Below are 26,691 nucleotides of genomic sequence, written 5' to 3' on the forward strand. Positions count from 1 at the left end.
TGCTGGCGCTGCGGCTGAGCCTCGCCGGGAACTGTGCGCTTCTCATGTTTGCAGAGATTTCAGGAAAGATGAGGATGATATGATTGTCTTATCGTGTTTACCTCCCTTACATATCTTCATATCTTGAATATAATATATACATATATATACACATATATATATATATACACACATATATATATCCCTCTATTTCTCCTTGTCTCTTCACCCTAAAAAATCGTCTGTTTTTGTTTTCCTCTCTTCTCATTCTCTGGTAGTGGAAGGAAGAAAGGGAAGGAGAAAGCGCCCCTGAGGTGGTCATTCATCCAGCTCTTAGCCGGTGTGTCTTCACATCAGGCCAGAGCCACGGCCGCCACCCCCCCGGACCGTCACCCCCATCCTTCCACCCCGGGCAGACGCCGCACTACTCTCTGCGTGCCGCACTCCCAGCAGGGCCCCTGGATCGGTTCGCTCTTGTCTGTTGCTTGTTAATCAAATGGGATATGTGGCACAGAGAATGAGCTACGGAGGGGGCCGGACACATTTCATTGCCCCTCACCCCACCCTGTTGGAGAATTTAGCTCCCTATAAATAAACTGTACGTTTGAGAAGAGCCGGTGGAGCGGACGCCGCCGCGCCGCGCCAAGCCAGCAGAGCTCAAAGCCGGGCAGGAGCTCTGGGGCGGGCACGCCATACATGTCCGCTTAGGTCGCCGACAGCTGGGAGCCGGCGCCGATGTGCAGGGCGCCCCAGCCTTCCCGCGGGGTCTCGGTCCCAGGGGGCTGCCAGCTCCACTTGGGCGGCGGTGGTGGCTGCGGCATGTGCCAGTACTGGGAAGCGGGAGGCCGGCGTGGCCAGGGCTGACATCAAGCTCATCCTGCCTTCTGCACTGAAGGCTCCCTGGGGGCAGCGGGGCATTCCTCCCCACCCGGGCTCTGAGGCTTTTAATTAAGGTCGCCAGCGGCAAAAAAATCAAAAACGTGCCCGTTAAACAAGTTTTTTTTTCTCTTAGAATGTGGGGAAGCTGCTTCTGAATTCACAATTCTTGGAAGAGTAAAAATGTCTTCTGAGTGAGTCGTCTCGGATATTTGGGAGTGGGATAAGCAGACTCATAATTAGCCCAGCGACATTGGCTCGAGCCTGTGGGCTTCACATGAGCGTCATTTTTGCCCTCTAAAAAGCGTTAAACAAGAAAAGGAAACCGGCATTTGGACACATAATGGGTTTTCTCAAAACTGCCATCTTCTTGTGGAGAGCAACCCAGCTGCTTTTTAAAATATTTTTCCTTCCAAGAAGAGCTACTTTAGCAGCCTTTACCTTGGCGGTGGGAGAGGGGAAAGGCGGCTTCCTCTTACAGAAAGAAATTATTTCGCGAGTGAGATTGCGATCCCCTGAATATGTAGCCGAGGCCAAAGGGAGAGCGTAGGGAGCCTGATCCGCTTTCCGCGTGGGGGTCGTTTCACTGTTTCACGTTAGGATGTGATTCGGCCCAGAACAACAGGGAGAAAACCGATGCTTCTGCAATGAGTATCATTTAATTTTGGTCATTTAGAGCTGCGGGTGGACACCAGAGTGGTGGCTCAAGGGAGCCCGGTGGCCCGACCGGTTTTCTCCAGACACCGTTGGAGAAATGGGCAAGTAGTAGAGAATGACAACATGGCAGGCAGCGGTGGGCGCACCTCGCGGGCTCCGCGAAAGGAAGGGTTCCATTTGATTTATCACAGTTATTTACCTTTGATGTCAGAGCATGGGAATGAAGTGCATCTTGGTCTAATTAAAAAGGCCTAAAAAGGCATTTGAAATGGGTTTGCTATCTGATCACGGGATGTGAATTCGGCGTTTGGCAGCTTTCTAAAATATTGCTTGGACTATTTAAACAGAACAATTAGCAGCATGCTAAAATGTTTGCATGCTATGCTTAGAAGCTTTTAGCTGTAAACTTTAAGGCGATCTGTTCCCCCTTTAAGTTAAAAAAGGATGATGCTGCTTCCTTGTGGCGAAGGCTGTCAGGAACCCACTGATCAATAAAAGTAAACTGGCGCCTCCACGGCTTGATTGAGCGGGAGCAAAGAGTCTGAGAAGTAGTCTCGGCCATTAACAATCCCCCAGGTAACGAGAAATGGAAGAATTACTCAGGTAAAATGATTAACATTGTCGTAGCATCTGAAAAGATGCACACAACAAGATAAGAAGACTGCAGACCTCTTACCTTAGGGAGTGCTAATAGAATGTCTATATTCTGCTGTCTTTTAAAGATAAATAGGAGAATTCAATTCATGTACAATGTCATTACCTTCATAATTGCAATCACAATGTAAAGACATGTTCTGCATTTGCAAAGACAAACCCTCTTTGCTAAGGCGATGCCACCGTGTTCCCTGCTTCCTGCTCGCTGTTCACACTCCAGGCACCCCTCTTTTCCAAGGAGAGCATCCAAGTACTTCCAGCTACCAAACCACTTTTACACAAGCCAGGTGCTAAGGGAGGCAGGGGCGTGTGCCTATGCTTTCCTTCTTTCCTATTATCTCCTCCCCACCCCTAATCTCAAAGTGACAGTTACACAGCCTTCCCCATCCCCACACACAAAATAGCTCTTCCATCCCCCAGTCTATTTCTACAGATAATCCTAACAACAGCCTTTGCCCTCAGAATTTCTTTTTTTCTAATAGGCACACTCGATCATTATACTCCAAGAATGCCATTGACTAAATGAGTAGCCCAAAACACTTTCATGATCAGGAATTTATTAACTAACTGAATAAAATCGTTCTGCATGTAGATAATAAAAACAAGAAAGTTCTCTCCGTTTTAGCTTCCCTTTACTTCAATCCTGAAGGGAGCCCCGCCTCCTCAGCCTCTTTAGAGACACAAGAGGGACATCTAGTGACCATCCTCAGTATTTTTTAATCCAACAGCTACTAAGAAATACTAATACTAATGGTGCTATGCCGCCTACGGCTGCTCTCCAGGTCAAAGCAGCTCCACTGAGGCCAGAATCAAAATTGGCAAAGAGAATTTTTTTTGTCTTTAAAATGTCATCCATGCCACTAAAATCATGCTGAATGGCAATAAAAGAGGACCAAAATGGGAGAAATCTTACTTTTAGATCAAACCAGTATGTGAAGCTAATTCTTGTTCTCCTAAGATTGATAAGGGTATGGTGAAAGGTTTTGTCCAGAAAGGTGAAAAGTAATGGTAGGAACCAAGATACCAGTATATGAGGGACTGTAACTCTGACAAGTTTAAGGAAGCTTTCTGAGATGTGTTTGTTTTGTTCTGTTGTTTTAGAGACAAGGTGTCATTCTGTCGCCCAGGCTAGAGTGCAATGCTGCAGACATGGCTCACTGTAACCTCAAACTCCAGGGCTCAAGCAATCCTACCACCTCAGCCTCCTGAGTAGCTAGGATTATACAGGTGTGCACTGTCACACCTGGCTCATTCTTTTCATTTTATTTTTTGTAGAAATGGGGTATCTCTCTGTTGTCCAGGCTGGTCTCAAACTGGCCTCAAGCAATCCTTCTCCCCTGGCCTCCCAAAGTGCTAAGATTACAGGCATAAGCTACTGTGCCCTAGCCTGAGATATGTTTTTTTTTTTTTAATGTTTGCTTTAAGCTCAAAAGAGATTAGCCTTCAAATAACTCCAGTCTCTCTCTTTCTCTCCTCCTCCTCCTCCTTCCTTTTGCCCCCTTCTCTTTGCCCTGGCTGCAGAAAAGTGGGTCATCTTCTAGCTTGGCTTTCACTGCATATCATGGGGATCCCATTCCACCCAACTAGTTTGACCAGCTGCCTGATGAGGTTCTCTTAGAAAGAAAAAATTGATTTTAAAATTAGCAAATTCAATCAAACTTCTTCTGACTGCATATCTGATCTCCTTACTTAGGTTACAATGCCTAGAGAAGAGAACATCAAAGAATGAAAATGGAGGAAATGGGAAAAAAACTATAAAGTGTCATTATTAAAGTCATCATCTTATTTAATTTTTACAATATCCCTGGGAGATAAAGACACTTTGCAGATGTGGAAACAGTTGCAGAGCAGTTCAACGATTTTCCAAGACGACCTCATTACACAAAACTCAACCACTTCCCTCGTGAGATCAACAAGTGTTGGCTTTTTGTCCAGCATTGTGTTAAGGATTGAGAATTTTTTTTAGTGGACCTTGCCCTTATGTAGTTTAACATGCAGTTGATTAATTTAATAACAGCATGTATGTCTATGTACTATAAATTTTCCTAGAGGAGAAACTAGGATGAGATATATTATGTCGACAGCTTCCTAAAATTCTGTTCTCTTCTGCCCACAATGATTGCCCGATTTCTAGATAGTCCTTCCCTCCCTTCCTGCCTCCCCCGCCACTGTCCCAGACAGTATAAGGAAAGGCATCAACAGCAGCAATCAGGGATGTGGACCTGCTGGGCAGGGGTGGGGTTATCCTGGATGCTGTTTCTAACCCTTCTGGAACACCAAGAAGACTAGGACAGAGGCCAAGAAAAACCTTTGAGGTCCCTCACACTTTTCCCTCTCTTCCTCTCAAACTCCACCCCTTTTCCTACCCTGTGACAGAGGATAACATTAACAGCAGGGAGCTGTAGCAGATAAACAAAGTAGAGAAAGTGTTTCTTAAGTGCTAAAATTGTTCACCATGGCCCCGATGCCTGCCTTTTCCAAGAAACACAAGAGATGTGCGGGACAGTGGAGAAAAAGAGACTGAGAAAGTTATTAATCACTTCATGTCTTCCCATTTTGACAAGGCCAGCATCCTTGAACAAGCTATGTCCAAACTTCCTCCATGCCTTATCCCCTCCCTTTAGGAATGGCACTTCCCACAGGACCAAACCCCTGCTGCTGCCAAACTCGTAACTGTCCCTAAATAAGCACACGTCATGGGGACTATTTAATTAGCAAAGGCTAAATCAGCAGATACATTTCAATAAATGACACTGCTCTCTAACACCTTTTGTACTGCCCTGCAGTGATCACCTGTGATGTTTTGACAGCACCATTTGGGCTCTCAGCATTATTGCCTCAATCTTTTCATGTGAATTTTCTCCAAGTGGACCCCAAATGCTGGTTTCCTAGGTGCAACCTCATGTCAGCTGTTACTCCCCACATCACCACTTTTGAAAACAGAAAGCTCTCCCTTCAAAGGCACTCTGATTAAATCATGGCCAGCCTTCCCACTGCTGACTCCCTCATCCCAAGGAGGAGGGTAAGGGTGACATTCCACAGCTCCCCAGAGGAAATGCTTTTTTGACAGCTTGAAAAAAAAAAAAACTATCACCAAATTGGAGACCTCAAAAACCACCGAAATATGAACCACAACGATACAAAGAATACGTAATTGAAAGTGAGCAGACTTTCACTTGGGATGCACTGTTTTAGGCCAAGGCCAAGCCTTTTTGTGTGTGTGTGTGTGTGTGTGTGTGTTGCTGTCCCCAGCCTCTAACACTGCAACCTAGTAGGTAGATCCCAGGCACCTTATACCTTGTGTAATTTCCTCAGACTGGAGCTCCTGATTAGGGCTTGGCTTTTGATTCCCACCCTAGGCTTCTATCACAGTCTCTTCTGCTATTTCTGAAGCAGTACAAGTGGGGCAAGAAAGGAAGCAGAACTATCACTGAAAGGAATGGTTGAGGCTGAAAGAGCCCTGGCCGAAATATCAGCCTTATAGGATATGCCCTGAAGATCAGCTTTCCAAATTAAAAAATAAAAATAAATATCTGTCTGGTTGCTTGATCTTACAGGAGGCTGAGTTCTTTCTGGAGATACCCACAAGATTGGAGAAAACAAACCAGATCTTTCAAGACCTTGAGATATACGGTACTGGAGCTGAGGTGAGTTTGTGAACTCCACACTACAGTACCCTGTTGCATTAAGTTCAAATGAACAATAATAGCCAGAAGAAGAATACAAAAGTCAGTCTGATGAGCCAGTTTCCTGGGCTTCTCTTGGTATCTTGGGCAAAAGATGATCTCTGTGAGGCACCAAATCTATTGTATACTCTTTAGTTCTAAGTGACCAGGCTGGGCCTAGATTTGCTCTTGGTTCCTCCCAAGTTTCTCCTAGAACTCAGGAGAGGCCTAGCATAGCTCCTGGGAGTTCCAGCTGCTCCACCAACTGATTTTTCACTGAACTAGGAAACTTGCTACTTGGCTAATGTCAGCTTAAAAGGGAAAGAAGAAAACTAATAAACATAAAGAACTGCCAGTTTGACAGCTGCAGTTACATTACCTGGGCTAGCAATAAAAGTACCAAAGGCATGTCACGTATGCCACTAACAGCACAAGGCACAGTATCTGTTCAGGTTGACAAGCCCTGGGGCAGTGGAGAGTAAACTGAAAGAAGGAGATCCCAGAAGGAGGCAGAGAGAGCACCACAAAGGGGACAGATAGAGCAGAAGTGACAGAAAAATCATTTTAGCAGCATGGAAGTTATGTACCTTTTTTCGAATGAGAAGAAAACAATGACTTGCCAGCTGGGAAAACATCCTGTTTTGGGGTCCAAGAGTTTGCATATTGGTGCACTGGATTTGGGGGAAAGCCTATTAATTTGTGTCTGTTGTCTCCGGGCTGAAGCCAGAATGGCCATAGAGGACCAATGACCTTTCTTCCAAAAGCTGGGAGTTGAGAGGGTTAGGGAGAGTGTCCTGTGTCACAGGAGATACCAGCTGGGCTGAGCTTGGCTGATCTCTTTTAGCAAAGATCACAAAATGCAGTGACATCAGTAGCAGGCCATATCCACCCAGAGACAGCAACCTAGGCAGCAGTGATCAAATTAAGTCTTGTACCTACTGATGGGTTAGTAAGAAAACTAATAGTCATAGAGGACAGTGAGGCCAGTTTGAGGCCTGTGCAGCTCTGCGTGTTCTCTGCCCGGGGAAATGGTGGAACTTGAGAAAGCCTCGCTGTCTGGCTGTGCAGTTTCATTTGGGAGAACAGGCAATCAGTTCTGGAAGCCTGACTGAAGAGAGTGGACAGAATGATAGCTCAAAATGAGATCCATCAATGACTTTGTTGCAGCCCCAGCCAAACAATCAAAAGCAAATAGTCAGCTTCTAAAATCAATGCTTCATGAGATGATGAGCCAGTGGAGTTCACGTGGGGGTGGGGTGGGAAGGAGGTTATGGAGGGAGGATAGAAAAATTCCCTCTTTCAAGCCACCCACCAAAGCAAGCAGCTGCATTTCCTTGAAACAGCAGATTTGGTTCCTAGCAAAATCAGAACTGCAGTCTCCTAGCAGAGCAAAACAAAGGAGCAGGGGGCGAGACAATTTTGAAAACAGGAAGGCGTTTTGGCAACAATCACAGAAGGGCTGGTAAGCCATTGTGCTCTTGGGATCCATCTGCTGAGCTCCAGAACATCCTCCCCCCACTCCACCCCCATTCAGAGCTCAGATTGCATGCTTAGGGTCAAGAACAGGGTCATTCAGGAAGAAACGGTAAAGTGGAAAAGACAGACTCAGCCTCAAGATGTGAAGCAAGAAAAGCCAGGCCTGATTTCTTCCATCCATGGAGGATGCAGTGAAAGACACAGGCAAGCCCTTCTCATTCTTGGTGCCGTTGCAGGGGAGCAAAAGTTGGCTTGATTAAATTAATGGAAAACACATTTAAAATCAGCCTAGAATTTCCTGCTGTTAGAGACCTTTGAGAGAAGAATAGTGACTGCATCTTTAAGGACCCGAATAATTTTTTAGCTATTAATAATGTTGTTAGTCATGCAATATAAGTGAACGCTAGCAAGGTAATCAAATTGCTTGCTCTATAGCAGAGATCAGGGTAATCTGGAAAAAGAAATAGAAAGTTTTTCTTCAATGCAATGTATATGAAGACATCTTCCCCAGACCTCTATTCCTAATGTAGAGAGGATAGGAAGTCATATAGTTATTTGTAATAGAACAACAAACTTGATCTCATAGTCTGTGAAACCACCATATTAAAACCCCAGCAGCAGTAATCACCTGCAAGTGTTAAAAGAGAATTCACAACACTTAATTTCATATCTTTTATTGTACATTTCAAGAGATTCATGCATGGGCCTCCCTTTCTTTATAACTCGGGGCTCTGAATATTACTTAGTGGACCATTAACCTGTTCTAATATAGCATTAGATTTTTTTAGCCAAGGAGAGTAAAATAAAGATGCTTAATTTAGTTCCCTTTTCCCTGAGAAATAAATAGCTGTCACACATCCAGAAGAGCAGGGTTCATGAACTGCTTTGGAACATGGAGATCAATGAAATCTGATCCTCTCTTGAGAAAAGGAGCTCCACGTAGAGTTTAACCAAAGATTTCCTACCATAGGCAGTCCCTGATCATCAGGAAGCCTTTGAAGACCCTCCTAGGTTTCCTGTTCAGTCTTGTTTGATCTCCAGTGAACATTAAAATGATTGTAAAGCAGTTTTATAAATGTAAATTATTCCATAAATGCAAAATAATTATGTCCAGCCTAAGCAACTGATTTCTGGTTTCTGGAAGTTCCCATGGATCCGTCTAAAATAGACAGTAGACATAACAGGATAATTCAACCTCTGAAGCAGATTTATTTCTAAGGATGGTGGTTATGATGATGACTATCTATTTCTTCTTTGTTCTTTCAATTTCTTATTCCAGTAACTAATATTTGCACATAAAAGGACTGTCATGTTTTGATACATCTTTATGTAATATAGATCTCTTGTAATTATTCATGAACCTAACTTCAGTTTTTGTCTCCATTTTAAGCCAACAGGAAATATTAATTGCTTTCTCAGAAAATATTAATTGATTGCCTACACTTGATGCATAAGACTGAGAATGCATAATAGTGTGAAGCATGTATTGTGCCCTCCAATTGCTTACAGTCTAGCTGTGGATATCATAAAAGGAGAACTAAAAATACAAGGATGTATTTTTCAGGTGTCGGAACAGCAGTGCTCAATGTTGGTATAACCCAAGTTACAAAGGGGTGACTGATGACCTAGAAGCTGTGGGAGGCCTTTCAGGTGAGGGAAAGGGTGTTTGCAAAGGCATATAAGCTTCAGTAAGGTGTGTTAGGAAAACAATGAAGAGTGCAATTTGGCTCAAGCACTTACTCCACAAACACGATTGAAGTGCTTTGTTGTAGTTATTAAGGGCACAGGCTCTGGGGCTAAATGGATCTGAGTTGAAGTCCTGGTTTTACCATTTCCCTAGTTGACTGACTTTGAGAAAATATTATAATGTCTGTTTTATAAAGTTGTGGTATAACATGAGATGATGCCTGCAAAGGGAAATGGTACCTATAAAGTACTTCATGTTTTACATGCCTAGCACAGAATAAAGAACTCAATAATTTTTAGTTGTTACATTTTCTGAACACCACAAAGTGCCAGATACAATTCAAGGTGCCAGTCTGCTACTAAAGAAGAGAAATCCTGTGCCCTCAAGGATCTCGTGGAAGGATTATAGAGTAGAATAATGGGAGTTGAGATTAGAGAGGTAGGTAGAGGCTATTGTGTAGAGCCTTGATTGCTAGATTGAAGGATTAGAACCTTATTAAGGTCAGGGAAGTCATCCAAGGCTTTTGTAATAGGGAATAACTAATGTCATTTTTATGATTTGTGATTTTTTAAATTTCAAAATAATGTCAGGTTGGCTTCTTCAACCTTCCTCCACTTTGCCCACATTTTAGGTTACGTCACTAATTCTTACACAAGTCAAATTCCAGTACAGCATTTACCAAAGCAATATAACTAGAGTGAGCTCAGAAGCAAGGGCTGCTAAAAATGGGTAGGAACACTGAGATGGGGCTATTGTAAGTAGAGGAGGCTGGTATCAGCAATAGCAGCTGGGTGTCCAAGGCATTGTGTTCAAGGAATTCATCAAGTCCCAAAATGCTGCATGGAAGCAGAAGATAGGATATGTCAACAGAAAATTTCAGTCAACAAGCACAGGTGGAGTCTTTGCTGGTTCTAGGACATCTGGCCATCTGTGACAGAGGGTGCAGTGGCAAGATTTATGACTTGGAGGCTACACAAACACCCAGGGTTCATCTCTAACACACTTCATGCTAGGGTAAGGGATCTTTACAGTATACACAACACTTCAATTTTTTTTTTTTTTTTTTTTTGCCTCAGCCTCCTGAGTAGCTGGGATTACAGGTACCCGCCACCATGCCCTGCTAATTTTTTTGTATTTTTAGTAGAGACAGGGTTTCACCATGTTAGCCAGGATGGTCTCAATCGCCTGACCTTGTGATCTGCTGGACTCAGCCTCCCAAAGTGCTGGGATTACAGGCGTGAGCCACCGTGCCCGGCCAACACTTCAATTATTTAACATGTTTCTACCTTTATAATTTTGGTACCCTAGTCTACATCATCAATAGCTTGGATGATTGACAGGATTTGGGTCCAAGCCTAGGGGTAGGTCCCATTAGTAGATCTAGCTGTCAATAGCTGGAGAAAGCAAAGGCACTGGTGAAAAAGAAGGGCTGACATGGAAAACTGTTTGGAATGTGTTGCCCTGGCATTTTGTTTATAGCAAATATTCCTTAAAACAAAATGCTTCATTGATTTGTATCTAGGAGTCTTTTTGTTATAAAGAGATTTTATGGCAATGGGAGCTTGGGGTAATGAGATTTATAATATTTGAGTTGTTTAGGGAAATTTTCTTAAATTATCATTCATTCACTTGGCAAGTATTTATTGAGTTCTTGCTGTGAGCTAAGCACTGTGCTAGGCACTGGGGAAAGAAGAATGAACAAGACGACCATGGTTTCTGCCCTCATGCAACTTTCAGAACAGTGAAAGAGACAAAAAAAAAAAAACCAGAAAAACTGACACCTACAACAATTTCAATTCATAATAAATGACATGAAAGACACAACACAGGCTCAAATTATAATGATAATGGTGATAGGCACTGTTCTGAGTGCTTTATGCACCATCACGAATCCTCATGATAACCCTTTGAAGTACATACTATTATTACGCCTGTTTTAGAGGTGAGGAAACTGAAATGTAGAGAGGTGAAAGTAACTTGCCTTGGGTAACATAGCTAGTGGTGGACAGAACCAGGGAAGTAATGCCTGGCTCTGGAGCATGTTTTCTTAACCACTATACCAAAAAAAAAGAGGTTGGAGCAACCAACTTTACAGCACATAGTCAAGGAAGGCCTCTCTGAGAATGTCACATTTAATATGAAACGTAAAGACCATCTAAGGCAGTCTACATTGATAAGAATTCACTAAATGCCAATATATAGCCTGTCAAATAAACCTAATTTTCTTCAAGATATTTCCTGGAGATTAGACCAAGAAGGTTTTGGTAAAAGCAATAAGTGCTTTTCCAAAAGGTTACACAGTGTAAGGAAAAGACAGTGTAAGGAGAGCAGAGGTTAGTATCAGACTTAGTGCTAGAAATGAAAATGATTAATTCTGAGAACTCTGACAGTATAACTGTAAAACTATGTATTGCAATGATTTGCATTTTCTTGGGAACTGAATGTCTTGGAACAGAACTCTCCTGTGTATTCCTACAATTTCTACTTCTGTCAGATCTTATGACTGCACAAGAGGTGTGGTGTGTTCCACGCTTGTAACTTACCTCTCTTTAGGTCTTTCCTTGGCATAATGAAAATTAAATGTGTGTCTCAGAGCAGCCAGATGACCAACACTACCAACTAACCTCTTTCATGTGAACACAAAGCAAGCCTGACTTTAAAAGTGAATTCAGCAAATGATAGCTCTCTTGGTGCTCTCCACACACTTGTTTTAGGCCTGACACATGGACCAATTACAAAGTTCAGAAGGCCGTACATGGTTTGAATGTATGCATCCCTCCAAAATTCATATGCTAGAACTTAAATTCCAATGTGAGAGTATTAAGAAGTGGAGCCTTTAGGAGGGGGTGATTAAGTCATGAGAGAAGAACCCTCATAAATGGTATTAGCAACCTTATAAAAGGCTGGAGGGAATTAGCTAGTTCTTTTTTCCTTTAGCATCCCTTCTACCATGTGAATACACAGCATTCTTCCCCTCCAGAGAACACAGCAACAAGGTACCATCTTGGAAGCAGAGAGCAGCCCTCACTGCTTCACAGACACTGAACCTACCAGCACCTTGATCTTGGACTTCCCAGCCCCCAGAACTGTGAGAAATAAATTTCTATTATTTATAAATTACCCAATCTGTGATATTTTGTTATAACAGTGAGACAGGAGAGTTCTCTTGACCCCTTCACAGGAATTGCAACAGGGGTGTGACTCGTTTACTCAGCCTCCAAGCTCAAACCCCTTGCAGGAGGGGGAGCATGTAGGTGAGCAGGTGCAGGAGCCAGGGTGAGTGCCTTTGGGTGACAACCAGCCTGCAGCAGTGTCTAGAGGTTGCACACAACCACTGGAGCCCCAGAGGGTGTGAGTTACAAACAATGCTATTTTAGCTTTGCCATCTGTGGACAGCTTAAGTGTTAAACAGCTCAGGTGTAAGGTGTAAGTGTGGTGCATGTGGAGGATTTTATTGAGTGATAGAGGTCTCTCAGTGGGGTGGGGAGCTAGAAAGGGAATGGAGTGGGAAGCTCCTCTCTGACTGTCCCTGGCCAAACTCCTCTTGACGTTCAGATGCTTCTTTTCTCTCCTTCTCTGCCATGCCACTCTGCTCCTCTGCCAGTGGAGCTTGGGGTTTTTATGGGTACAGGGTTGGGGGACCTGGTGGGCCAAAAGGCAACATTCAGGCAGAAAAACAGGGATGTGAAGTTCTCATTTAGGGCAGTGGGCCCAGGCTTGAGGGTGAAACCCTTGCCAGGGGCCCTGCCCTTTTCTACCTGGTATTTGAACAGACTAAGATAAAAACTTACCCATCTTACACTAGGTTTCACTTATCTATAAAAAGGTAATCCCAGACAGGCATGGTGACTCATGCCTGTAATCCCAGGACTTGGGGAGGCCAAGGTGAGAGGATTGCTTGAGCCCGGGAGTTTAAGACCAGCCTGTGCAGCAAAGTGAGACCTTGTCTCTACTAAAAATAAAAATAAATAAATAAAAATAAAAAGGTAATTCCTACTCTCTCCTTTAGCACAAAGATCGTAGCAGATCAAGCAGCGAAGTTCACCTTTGTCTTCTGCCAAGACTCACAATTCAAGTCTGCCATGAAAATAATCTGTGGTTGTCCCAAACCAGGAACTAGCAGTGCAGATGAAACCAAGGAGATAAATAGCAAGGTTCTCAGCACAGGTTGGTATTAGGAAGACAGAGCAGCCAACCAGCTTTCCAAAACTTCTTAGGTCTCATAAAGCATATATAGCATATAGTATATATAGTGTAATTAACAAGGAGATCCTCAGTCTCTGTTGATAGCTATATGTCCTCAGACAAGAGGTTAACAAAGACAGTTGGAGTGCAGTTGGGCCGCAAGATTAATCATGCCTTACCACTGGTCAGACCTAGGTTACTAATGCACTGTTTTATTAATCATAATGGATAGCTGTGGCTGGTAGAGTACAAGAAACCTGTTTAAAGATTCATCACTGCCAACCTTGTAAATTTCATCAGTAGCCCAGAAACCAAACCCTATTCCATATCAAGCACTCCCCAAAGAATCAGGAAGCTTCCGGAGAAAAGGATTTTTCTCGGACAAGAGAATAAATTCAGCATTCTTTCTGTAAATGAATGACTGCTAAGAGTGAGGTAAGGACGATAGCTGCTGAAATACTCCCCAACCCCAGGTGGTGGCGGCACAGCTCTAGCTCCAGAAGCTGAGGCTATTTCATGCTAAGCCTTGGAGCAACTCAGCAGTTACAAATGGCTGGAATCAAAGCAGAAACATAAAGTCACAGCAGATGACCAAGTCAGACTAGGGCTGTAACTGAGGTTCCCTCAAGCTTGTCCCTGCTGTTCAGACACAATTCCACTGAAGCCCTTGGATCCACTGACAGGAGTATCCTGGCTGGCTACTTCACCATGTTATCTGCACAAAATAGGCCCCAGAACGTTTCCATGCCACTCAGAAGGCCAACGATGGATCTTGTCTGTCCTTTTGTAGGTTTCTGCTTCAAAAAATAGTGCCCCCAACAGAGATTGGAAGGCTGGGAAAGGAGAGAAATGTGGGAGAAAGACAGAACAGTTCCTTTCTTTGGCTGGGCTACATTCTTCCATCTCTAGTTCTCAGCCTAGAAAAAAAAAATGATGTCGGGCCTCCCAGAATAGCTTTGATCTACTCAAAGTGGTTGGATGAAGTCAAAGCTACAGAAGAGCTGAAATGCCATCTTCTTTTCCTCTTTACCACCCAAAGTCCTCATCTTACAAAGGATGTGCTATTCCAGGCATGACTGGAAAGTGGAGACAACTCATGCCAGGGATGGATATTATTTTCTTGTAAATTGACCTATTCCCTCAGCTTGGTATCACAGTAATGACAAAGGTAAAGAAAGGTGTACAAAAAGGCCACAGGCAAAATTGACATAAGGACATATTCAGGACTAAAATTGATTCCTTGAGTATTATAGAGGAATAATAGTCATTATAGTTCTTATTCCTAAGGAATTCTATGGGTTTTTGTTTTACAAAATATTCTCACACACACTGCTACATCTGAGACTCCCAACAACACCGTTTTGCAGATGAGGAAACTGAAGCTCAGATGATTAAGGGACTTGCCCAAGATCTCTCAGCTAGGAAGTAAACAGAAGCCAAGACGCAAACCCAAGTCTGTCTGACTCCAAATTCAGCTCTTTTTCCTATACCTGTTGCTATGGCCTGAATGTTTGTGTCTTCCCGAAATTTACATGTTGGAACCCTAATCCCAATGTGATGGTATTCAGAGGTGAGAATTTTGTGAGGTAATTACGGGTGGAGCCCTAATGATGGGATTAGCGCCCTTATAAGAAGAGACATGAGAGATGTGATCTGTCTCTCTGCCATTAGAGGACAAAAAGAAGTCAGCCATCTGCAAATCAGGAACGGAGCCCTCACCAGACACTGAATCTGCCAGTTCCTTGATCCAGGACTTCCCAGCCTCCAGAACTATCAGCAATAAATATTTGTTCTGTAAACCACCCAGTCTGTCCTATGTTGCTTTAGCTGCCTTAATTGACTAAGACACCTGTGATTCCCAATCTTCATGAATATAAGGACCCCTGAAATAGTTCAAAATATTTCAGACTCCCACAAAAGGGTTGTTGTTCTTTTTTTAGCCCCTGGTTTAATAAAATGAATCATGACAAGAAGCCAATTTTAATTCATTAATGCTTTTATTTATTTTTGAGATAAAGTCTGTCTCTGTCACCCAGGCTGCAGTGCAGTGGTGCAATCCTGGCTCACGACAACCTCCACCTCCCAGGTTCAAGTGATTCTCCTGCCTCAGCCTCCCGAGTAGCTAGGATTACAGGTGCCTGCCACCACGACTGGCTAATTTTTGTATTTTTGGTAGAGACAGCGTTTCACCATGTTGGCCAGGCTGGTCTTGAACTCCTGACTTCAAGTGATCCACCCACCTTGGCCTCCCAAAGTGCTGGGATTACAGGCGTAAGCCACCATGTCCAGCCAATTCATTAATGCTTTTGAAGGAATTTATAGTTTACTTACTCAAACACTAATATTCATGTAATAATATTTGTTGATCACATTAATGTTTTTAGTCTACAGATAATGCTTGGAATATATATAGAGAGAGAGATTCATAGGCCCTGAAAATAGCTAGGAACCACTTCACTAAACCACCAGGAGAGGAGAATTTGATTCTTATTCTGACCACTAAATGATATAACATGGTGACTAAATACTTAGGCTTGGGAATCAGACTTTCTGGGTTCACAGTAGTATCTACACTAAGGTGCAGATACCTGGTTCTGATAACTTACTAGCAGTACTGCCTTGGGCAAGTTAGTTAACCTTTCTGTCTCTGTTTTCTCTTCTTTAAAACAGGATAATAATGATACCTACTTCATAAGGTTCTGGAAATTAAATGAACTATACACTAAAAACAATGCCTGACACATGGAAAACACTTAAAATGTTGGATATTATTATCTGCTACTAACCAAATGTGTTATCTTTATTTGATCGCTGGAATTGTCTTCAACGATTTCACCTGTAAATGGAAATAATGGTAGCTTAGTTGCCCTAAAGCAGGTGGCTTACCATGATATCATGAAGTCTCTTCCAACTCTAAGATATATGGTTCTCAGACCATCACCAGCTCTTCGTAATAACAGGACTGCTATTAGATTCAAGGATCCATAGCAAGTAAATCTAGATTCAGAGAAACCCATGAAAACTCCACTAATTCAGAACAACCCAAACAATATATGTGATCTGGTATGACCTCATCCTAATTTGATTACATCTGTGAAGACCTTATTTCTAAATAAGGTCACATTCACAGGTTCTGGGTGAACATGAATTGGGGGTGCAGGGGCACTATTCAACCCACTACACCTGGGAATGTCACTTAATCTGCTCACATCTCAGTTTACTCATCAGTCAACTGGGGAGAAAAGTATACTAGAAATATTTTGATGATTATGGCAATCCCAAACATTCCAGAGTTCGTGAACTCTGGAATGTTTGGGATTTAGTTTTTTTGGTTAATTAGAAAGGCTCTTTCCTGTAGATCCTACCAGAATTTAGTTTCTTCGTTAATTAGAAAAATCAATCTGATTAGTCAAAGGGGATCATTCTAAAACCCCAAAGTGATCAAATCCCAATGTCTGGGATTTAGTTTCCTTCAAGCTCAGTGTAATCATGGGGGACTGGCACATTAGAAGAGTTTACAAAAGAAATTCAGAAGGGCAGGGCGCAGTGGCTCACGCCTGTAATCCCAGCACTTTGGGAGGCCGAGGTGGGCAGATCACGAGGTCAAGAGATCAAGACCTTCCTGGCCAACATGGTGAAACCCCGTCTCTACTAAAAATACAAAAATTACCAGGCTTGGTGATGTGTGCCTGTAGTCCCAGCTATTCGGGAGGCTGAGGCAGGAGAATCGCTTGAACCCGGAAGGCGGAGGTTGCAGTGAGCCGAGATTGTGCCACTGCACTCCAGCCTGGCAACAGAGTGAGACTCCATCTCAAAAATAAAAAAGAAAGAAAAAAAAAGAAAGAAAGAAATTAGGAAGGATGCAAGTTTATGGTCTATTATCCAAGCAGATCATCTCAACATTAACTGACCACAAAGTATCAACTCCCACACTGTGCCAATACTGTGGTAAACACTATGACAGTGGGGATCAGGTATTTTATGTGTTTTGAACAACTAACACCTTGCACTGTGGGTGTGTAATAAATGTTTAGCATCATCATTATCATAATTATATCATAGGTTGCCAGCGGAGATAGCTAGTGCTCATTATAGCTCTGTTTTGAGACAATCTCAGTGGGGGAAATCAGAGAGGAGGACTATGTTCTCCACATGACATAGATTGTCCAATACAGCAAATTTTGCCTGTGGACAACATCTATGGGATTTTTATACTGCTGTCCCATTACTGGTGTCCAATCTGTCACCTACCTCCTTATAATTATAATACCCTAAAACACAAAATGCCATAAATCCCAAAGATAATGATTTTTTATTTTTACTGGGAAGAGTGAGAATAGATGAAAAAGGGGGTACTCACAGGGAGACATTGAGGTATCCTGGAAAAACAAACACTGCATTAGGGGTTCAGAAAAGCCAAACCTAACCTATGGATTCCCTATCTGTGCCTCACTGGTATATTAGTTTCTTAGGGCTTCCATAACAAATTACTACAGACTGGGCAGCTTAGAACAGCAGAAATTTATTCTTTCACAGTTCAGGAGGCTAGGAGTCTGAAATCAAGTTGTCTACAGGGCCATGCTCCCTCTGAAGACTCTAGGGAAGATTCTGTTCCATGCTTCCTTCCTATCTTCTAGTGGTTGCCCATAGTACTTGATGTTCCTTGGCTTGCAGCTGTGTCCCTCCAATCTCCACCTCTGTTGTCACATGGCCTTCTTCCTTATGGCCTCTACGTCTCTCTGTCTCCAAACCTCCCTTTCCTTGCAAGGATGCCAGTCACTGGATTTAGGGCCTACCCTAATTCGGTATGACTTTATCTTGACTTGATTATATTTGCAAAGACCCTATTTCCAAATAAGGTCCCATTTACAGGTTCTGGATGGATATAAACTTGGTGGGGGTGGGAGGGTCACTATTCCATCCACGAAACCTGGGAATGTCACTGGATCTTCCCATGCCTTAGTTAATTTATCAGTAAATTGGCGATCATAGCTTTAGCCGTGTTTATGACACAATTATATTCCTTTTGGGAAAACCATTTGTACTTGTAGAATTTTGTACCCACATTTGTGATTCCAGAGCTAATTTGAAAGATGGGGAAGTAGTTTTTCTACCCTTCCAAAATACAGTTGGTTGCTTCTTGCAGGAGAGATAGTGAAATGGAAGCAACACCATTACATGCTACAAAACTGTAGGCTGGGTTTTCATAAACCAATCATATATATTGCATTATTTAATATAAATAATAGATGTTTCAGAGGTAACCACTTTTGAAAAATAAAATGTGCTGTCCTTTAAATAGAAACAACCCTACTGAGCCACAATCAGTGAAACACACACTTTGAAGTGTTTTTTCAGAACAGGAATTCATCCAAACACCCTCCTGCACACACACCTGCCACTTAGTCCCCATAGCATAGATATAAACCCAAGGCCAGGATAAACCCAATCTCAGGCTGCTTCAGGTAGCTCCCTGTGTATTCAAGACTCATTTAGCAAGTGATTACACAGTATATTGAGTCCTGTTCAATTTCCCTGAATCATACATAGATGGAAATACACCAGTAAGTTTATCATTATTTGAGGCTAATCAACAATGAGCTTAAGGTTAAGTTGAATAAATAGAATGTTCTTGGTTATAGTTTCCTTATGCTGGAGGCTTTATAGTTTTCTACTTGGTTCACTGAAGCTGGTTGTTGGTGTTGCATGTGATCTTGTGGAAAGAGGTGTACCTCCCATCAGCAGTACTTTTACCACCACTAAAATGAAAAGAAAAGCAACACAGAGAACAAATCAAGAAATACCCCTATGGGCTAATCCCTGAGTAGTTTCCCTTAGGCCTTCTGTGTACTTAATGATGGGTTGTTCTGCCACACTAGAGGACTGAGAAAATCCATCCTCTCTTTCAGCTCAAACCATCTACATCTCAGTAATAGTTTTGCTCAAAGGAAAGGAGAATTGTTTCATATGAAAATTAGGCAGCCAAGCAAAAATTTTGGTAGACATTCCCCAAACAACAGCTGGGTGTCAAGCTACATCTTCAAAAAAAGATGTGATTTTGATCACTTTGAGGTGTTAGAATGATCCTCTTCTTTGACTGATCAGATATTTCTAATTAAGAATTAAGAGGGAACCAGGCAGCTAAGACTATTTAAACCAGTCTTTGCAATTGGGATTTATCTGGTTCTTTCCAGAAAGAAACAGCCAATTTGAATGATGACATAGGCTTACTGGGATCAGACTTGAACACCTGGAAAGGAGATATTTGTGTAGACGTCTCTAAAATATGTTAGAGAAAGAAGTTGTGAGATTTGGAATATGGAGTCACTGCATACAGAGTTCAAGAGGTTTCTCTGCAGAAGTAGTCTCTCTCCCCGATCCTGTTAGGGTCAGCCTGTTACTATAACTAGATTATCAAATTTACCTAAAAAATTAAAAATAATTTTATATTTTCTATTTAAAAAGTAAAAGAGTCATGATGTCGAAAATCAGATTTTTGGACTTGCTACACTTATTTTACAGTTTAGTATAATTTTCAGTTTTGAATTACGTAAGTTGAGGAGTTGAGATTTCTTGATTCACTGAGGATGATAGAAAAAGTACAGGATCAGTAAGGAAGAACTATAAATTTTTCAGTGCTTAGAACCTCTAGGTGTTAATCTGGCCAGGAATGAAGCACATGGTAAAGAGATGCTTGGGAGCATTGTTAAAGGATGTCTGAGGAAGAAGGTATGAAAATCTGGGGGTCTGCAGTTTAATGATTCTTTCTACAAACAAAGGCACTTTCCTGTTGATCCTACCAGAAGCCTTGTGTCTGTTTACAGCAAGTTAGTTGGGCAACTGAGGCCAGACTCTCAGACTAGTTTCCAGAGAGCAGATGCTAGCTGGTGAGCCCTGTTTACCAGGCCATGGCAGGTCTGCCAAGCAGAAAGACCCTGTGGAGAGGCTGTGGATTGGAGACTTACAACTGTAGCTCTTCTGAGATGGTCCAGGACTCCAGAGCTGCCAAGCAGGCACCTGCTCCCAGCACTGAGATTAGCAGAGAAACCAAGCAAACAAACATTCTCATCAACCAGTATTTAACCTCCTGTTGCTCGGAGTTGAGATTTCTTGATTCACTGAGGATGATGGAAAAAGTACAGGATCAGTAAGGGGTGAGTTCTATACAGGCTAATGCCAAAGAGGTTAGAGTTTCCTCTCTGAAACAAGCCAGTACAAAGTGTATTCAACCTCACTGTGTGATTAGGGGTCACATTTCAGTCACTCAATCATGCAAATGAACCTTGTTGAAATTCTGCATGCCTTTTTAAACAAACAGGGACTTCAATCTTCATCCCAGCCTCTTGCCTGAGTCTATATTAGACAAATATGGAAATCCAGTTCAGGATTTTACTTCCACTGTCATGCGCTGAAGCATTAACTCAAAGACTTGGCCCAGCGAGACAACTCGATCCCTACCTGAGCCAGTGCATTCACTTGAAATAATTTAGTAGCAGGGGCTTTCACCGCCGGCAAGCATAGGTAAATCCTGGATTAGCAGTCCTTGTCATTCCTAAATGGACTGCACATCTCCTGCTGCTGGGCCTTCATTAACAAACCACAGAATAAACTGAAGGGAAATAAACAAGTCTCTTGTCGTGCACACATGTACTCGCGACCTCCTCCACTTTCCTCTCTACTTCTCTTGCCTCCTGGGATTCTCACTTCATGCTGGGATCTCTGAAGAGTATTTTCCTCAGTGCCTTTTTACTCCAATAACACGTCCACTTCTTTTAGCTCTTCTCTCTTCGACTCCTCTTTCTTTGCTCCCCAACTGCACAATGTCATCATCTCCCATGGATTTCTTTTTTTCCTCTGTCTACAGTGACAATTCATACTCAAAAATAGAGCTCTCCCATTCTCTACCTTTTGCCCTCCCCTCCCAACATGAATAGCCCTAAATAACAACCCATGCCATTATAGACGAGGAGATCAAGGCATGTGTGATTCACAATACCTTAACCATACTCAAAAGACTGGACAGTTCCATTTCAAAAAGGATCATGAAGAAGGAATTGACATGGGCAGGTGGGCAAGAAGGAGTCCTGAGTTTGGTGCCAACTGAATGACCTTGACAATTTCATGATAGTTCCCTACACTTCTGTGTGCCCATCTGTTAAAAAAAATACAAACAGCTACCTGATCATTTTATAGGAGATTTATAAGTCAGTTATACAAAAGAAAAATTCTAGAAAAGACATAACGAACTCCATAAATCCCTCTCTGGAAAAGTGGGAAGAATAGTGAACGTAGGAGTAAGAAGCTGCCAAATTGTGCCCCTACAAATCTGTCCTTTACTCTCTTCTCTCCGTTCTCTCTTCACAAGTGCTACGGTCTGAGTGTTTGTGTCCCTCCCAAAAATCATATGTTGAAACCTAATCCCTAATTCAATAATATTAAGAGCTGGGGCCTGTAGGAGGTGATTAGCTTATGAGAGTGAAGCTGTCATGAATGGGATTAATGCTCTTATAAAAGAAGCACAAGGGGCCTGTTTGTTCTTCCACCATGTGAGGACACAGCAAGAAGGTGCCATCTATGAGAAATTGGTACTCACCAGACACCGAGTGTGCTGGTGCCTTGATCTTGGACTTCTCAGCCTTCAGAACCTTAAATCGATAAAATTTGTGTTGTGTGTAAGTTACCCAGTTTAAGGTATTTTGTTATAGCAGCCCAAACGGACTAAGACAATGAGATAGCTCATAACTACAATTTTAATCATTGTGCTGAGGACCTCTAAATCTGGATCTCTGGGCCTCACCTCTCCACTGAGCTCTGCATTTTTATATCCAATTGCATACTTACTGGGTATCTCATATACACTTGGATATATCATAGACATTTCATAGTTAATTTACCCCAAATCCTCTTCTCTTTTTCCTTAATCCATAAAAAGAGTAATTATCCACCCAATTTTCATAGCCAGAAACATGGAGATTAGCCCCTCCCTCATTCCCATCTTTATTCAGTCTACCTACGTAACATAAGCATTTGTCCCTTTCTCTCCATTCACACACTGCCACTCTAGCCTTGGCTAACATCATTTTTCACTTGTATTACTGCAACAGTCTCCTAATTGGCCATTAACCCTCAACTTTCTTTATAATCCTCCATACACTTGTCAGTGTGCTTCCCCACCCCCTACCACCCCCCACCATTCCACTCTTCCTTCCTAGACAACTAAGTACCAACTAGCGTCAGGCACTGTGTTAGGACCTTTATATGCATATTCCCACTTCATCCTTACAACAACCCTTTGAGATAGGTACTATTATTGTCACCATTTTACAGAGGAGAAAATGAAAGCTCAAAGAAAAGGAGTAATTTGTTTAAAAACAAGCGGCTAATTTAAATTCAATCGTGGCCGGGGTGGTGGCTCACCACCTGTAATCCCAGCACTTTGGGAGGCTGAGATGAGTGGATCACCTGAGGTCAGGAGTTTGAGACCAGCCTGGCCAACATGGTAAAATCCAGTCTCCACTAAAAATACAAAAATTAGCCGGGCGTGGTGGTGGGCACCTGTAATCCTAGCTACTAGGGAGGCTGAGGTATGAGAATCACTTGAACCCAAGAGGTGAAAGTTGCAGTGAGCTGAGATTGCACCACTGCACTCCAGCCTGGGCAACAGAGTGAGACTTTCTCTCAAAAGAATAAATAAGTAAAAATAAATTCAATCATACATCTGCCAGACTGCAAAGTCCATATCCTTTCCACCACGTTACACTGCCTTCCTTTTTCTACCATTATATTTAGAATTATTCATTAGACTTATTTGGTCCTTTTCTCCCTCCTAAACTGTGTTTTGAGTGTAGGCACCATGTTGTTCTGGTTTACTACTATATCCCTAACACTAAGCACCATGCTTGCTGTCTAGTGGGTACTCAATATGTAATCACTGAATAAAAATAATGACTGACTGAGATTCACTAAGGGATGCTCTCCACAACTTCACACATCTCAATTTTTCCCACCTTACAGTCTCACTGGGGCACTACTTCATATATTGTGCCCAATATGAGGCTGGTTTGGAACTATAACCCGGGAAGAATGTGTCAGGCTAATTCTGCTGATTCTCCACTTCCCTTACAATATCCCAAGATACTTATAAACCTGCTGGGTTTTCTTGCCTAGTAAAGCCCTTTCTCAGTCCCAGCACAGCCAGGAATGTGGCTGAGATGGCATGAGTCCCAGCTACCAATAAGATTGGTGGGGTGGAGATGGGGGTTGAAGGATGATTTACTTTTACCCTCGACAGCTTCAGAGGGCATAACACTGTGCCTTTCTGAGCTCGTCAGTGAAAATCAGGCTCACCAAATATTATACATTTCTAACCAATAGAATTTGGCCAAGAGCCACTCATTTTGTTTAATGATGCAGCACATGCTCTTGGCACTTGAACTCTAATAAGGACTGTACAGGCATTTAGCAGCACACATTCTATCAAGAGGTTTTGACAACTAGAAAACAAACAAAAGGACAATATAAATGTAACATCACATCCACTCAGACTGTCACTCAAGTGCCTACCAGTGATCTGACACCAAATCAATAGTATTATGGTTCATTGAAGTCAGATCAATGGCTTCACAAAGTTTCAGAGCAGCAGCAGCAGCACAATAGCAAACTTCATGTCTCCTGTCTATTATTACAAAGGAGGTAATCACTGTCTGGCTTCTCTGAGGGCCAGAGCCTCAGCACACTACTGCCTGAAGACTCTGGGATTCTAATTGAGATGACTGGGTACGCTGCCATGCCATTTTCTCCCCACCCACCACCTCCCTCTATCCTGCATCCTCCTGCTCCAGGAAGGAGTTTGCAAAGGACTTGCCCCACCGCAACCCAAGAGCCAGGAAGAGTCTGTCTTACACAAGCTCTGTGAGGAGCCACCACAAGAGTGCAAATTCCCAGGGAAAAGACCACTTTTTAACGCTAGCTCAAGCTTGGAGCATTTCAAGTGTCTCTTGGTCTCTTTATTATTTATGTATTCAAGTTTGCTTGACCTTGTGACCTATTAAGAGGCTTATCTTTTCAACCGGTAGAGGACCCTCTCCCAATTGCCACTTTCCACACTTTTCCATTTCCCCATGCCCCCAAAAGCTAACACTTGGGAGTGTCAATTTTCTAGAAGTTTCTACAGAGGAGTTTAATCATTTGAACAGCTTAATAAGGATTATACAAATAAAAATCCCCCAAAAAATTAAACAAGGAAAAAGCACTGTTTCCAAATGCTCTCAGTACTCTAGAAAGGGGTACTATAGGAGTCTAATAAGGTTGAAAAGCCTCTAGTCACAGGCCAGAACAGCATTAGACGGGTGGGTCAGACAAGGGGTACATCGATTTGAGAACTCAAATGAATTTCTCCCCCGTGCCAGAGCACTATTGCACTCACCAACCTAGCCAAAGGCTTGCACATCAATGAGATGAAGATGAATTATTGAAAAGCTTCTGTATAAAATGCTGCACTCTGCCATTTCCTACAAATCAAATTATCGAGGGAGATATTTGATTGTAAACATATTTAGAAAATGATTTCATTGTCATTCGGTTGGTTTTGCTTGCTCCCCCACCCTTAAATTTCATTTGCATTAAAGTGCTACAAAGTTAAAAAGGTCACACACACCCACCCCCAACCAGGAGCTTGCATACCAGCCACAGAAGCAACTAAATTCAATCAGCAAAAATGAAAACCTATTATAAGCAATAGAAAAACCCTTTAAATCATGCCTAACATGCTTAAAACAGAATTGTCTCCTCCTTACCCAGGCCTCTAACACACGGTTATCCTGAAAACAAATAGCTGTTTTTTTAAGATGGAGAGAACTAAATTCTATTTATTGTTTTTGAGATGCAGACCTAATGGAGTTAACCAGGTTCCGCTGTTAGTTCAAGAAGATCTCTATTTCAGTCACAGTTCACTTTCAGGGCCTACTGTCTTTGGAGATAGAAGTGTGACCCCACCCTGCTGGGTCTCAAATAGGCTGCACCCATAGGCATGAAAGCTCACTCAGCCTAGGCTGAGCAGATTATTTCCTGCTACCTTGGGCAGAATAGTCAACAGAAAATGAGGCACCAGATGACCCAAAGGCCAAATTGCTTCTGTTGAAAGACTTGCCTAATGGCATTCAACTAAGATGCCATTGCCTAAGGGAGTTCTCATCAATGCCTTTGGCTCTAAGCACTTGAAAAACAAAGAAAACAATGTCTTAGACTTCCCTGCTGTGACATATGGTGACAAGGAGAAGAAGAATCTAGTGGCAAGGGTGAAGGATGCATTAATTCAATATTCATTCTTTTTTCTCAACAACTATGTATTGAGTGCCTGCTATATGCCAGGTATTGAATGAATTTAAACCAGAATGGTGAAATCCCATCATCAAATTTCCAAAGCCCTTAGACTCAGTCTCTACATCAAAAAATGACAGTAATGCAGGTGAGTCATTGAGATGTCAGGGAATTTGATCTATTAGAAATGAGCCTCTGGACAAGTGAACTGGTAATTGATTTAGCATGTATTTATTTATTGCTCACATTCTACAAAGAATTGAACTAATCACAGTGACCAATGGAAATGGGGGGTGGGAAAGGATACAAAAGAAAGGCAATAATACATGGTTTCCCCCTCAAGTTGGCTGAGATGACAGTGGAGATACCAGGAAATAACCAGAGACAAACCCAGTATTAATTCATTTGGCTCTGTTTGAACTGCAACTGAACAAGATTATTTGGTGTTTTAAGTTCAGTTATTCCTTCACTCATTCAATATTAATTGAATGCCAGTGCACCCATCACAATGCTAGGAAATCTAGGAAGATAGACATAATGGTTTATATAATAATAGTAACCATTAACTGAGGATCTACTATATACCAGGCTCTGTGCTAAGTGCCTTTACAGGATCTTTTGCATCAAATCTCACAAAATCACTGTGTTTCCAATGATCTTGTGTGTAATAATGTATGGAGGTCACTTCTAGGCACAGGAAAAAATATCATCTGCTAGCTAATGGTTCCTTACGTGTAACAGAACAGCTCCCCGAGAAATATAACCTTAGGAAAGGTTATTATTTTATTATTGTTTCTTGTAATTATTATATCCATTGTAATGATGGTCACAGGTGGGACCATCTATTAATGTGCCAAACACTGTGTTAGTGGCTTTCCATACATTATTATTTTCATTCTGCACAACCACTTCATGGATTATTACTATCCTTATTTTACAAAGAAGGAAGCTGAGGTATAGAGAGTGAAATCACTTGCCTAAGACTCTGCAGCTAGTTAAGTGGCAGAGTCAGGCTTGAAACTGACTTGGCTGCCTCCAGAGTTCTTTCCATTACCCTCACTTTAAGGTTGCTGACTTGAGGTATTTCCATCGTGGTGAGGAAAATGAGACACATCCAACAAACATGTTAAATATGTGATTGTGGGCATGTCATCTAAAGACTCAGTTTCCTCCGATAAAAAGAGGATAATAATA

General features: G+C 42.2%; 1 annotated feature.

The window, feature by feature from the left end:
* Positions 25,018–25,635: an enhancer, noted in NCBI's record as "OCT4-NANOG hESC enhancer chrX:99690569-99691186 (GRCh37/hg19 assembly coordinates)". NCBI's record gives its function as "activates a minimal SCP1, AML or CMV promoter by ChIP-STARR-seq in naive H9 embryonic stem cells {active_cell/tissue: H9 hESC(naive)}" and the evidence as "EXISTENCE:reporter gene assay evidence [ECO:0000049][PMID:30033119]".

The sequence above is a fragment of the Homo sapiens genome, chromosome X (assembly GCF_000001405.40).
Source record: "Homo sapiens chromosome X, GRCh38.p14 Primary Assembly".
Classification (NCBI taxonomy): Eukaryota; Metazoa; Chordata; class Mammalia; order Primates; family Hominidae; genus Homo; species Homo sapiens.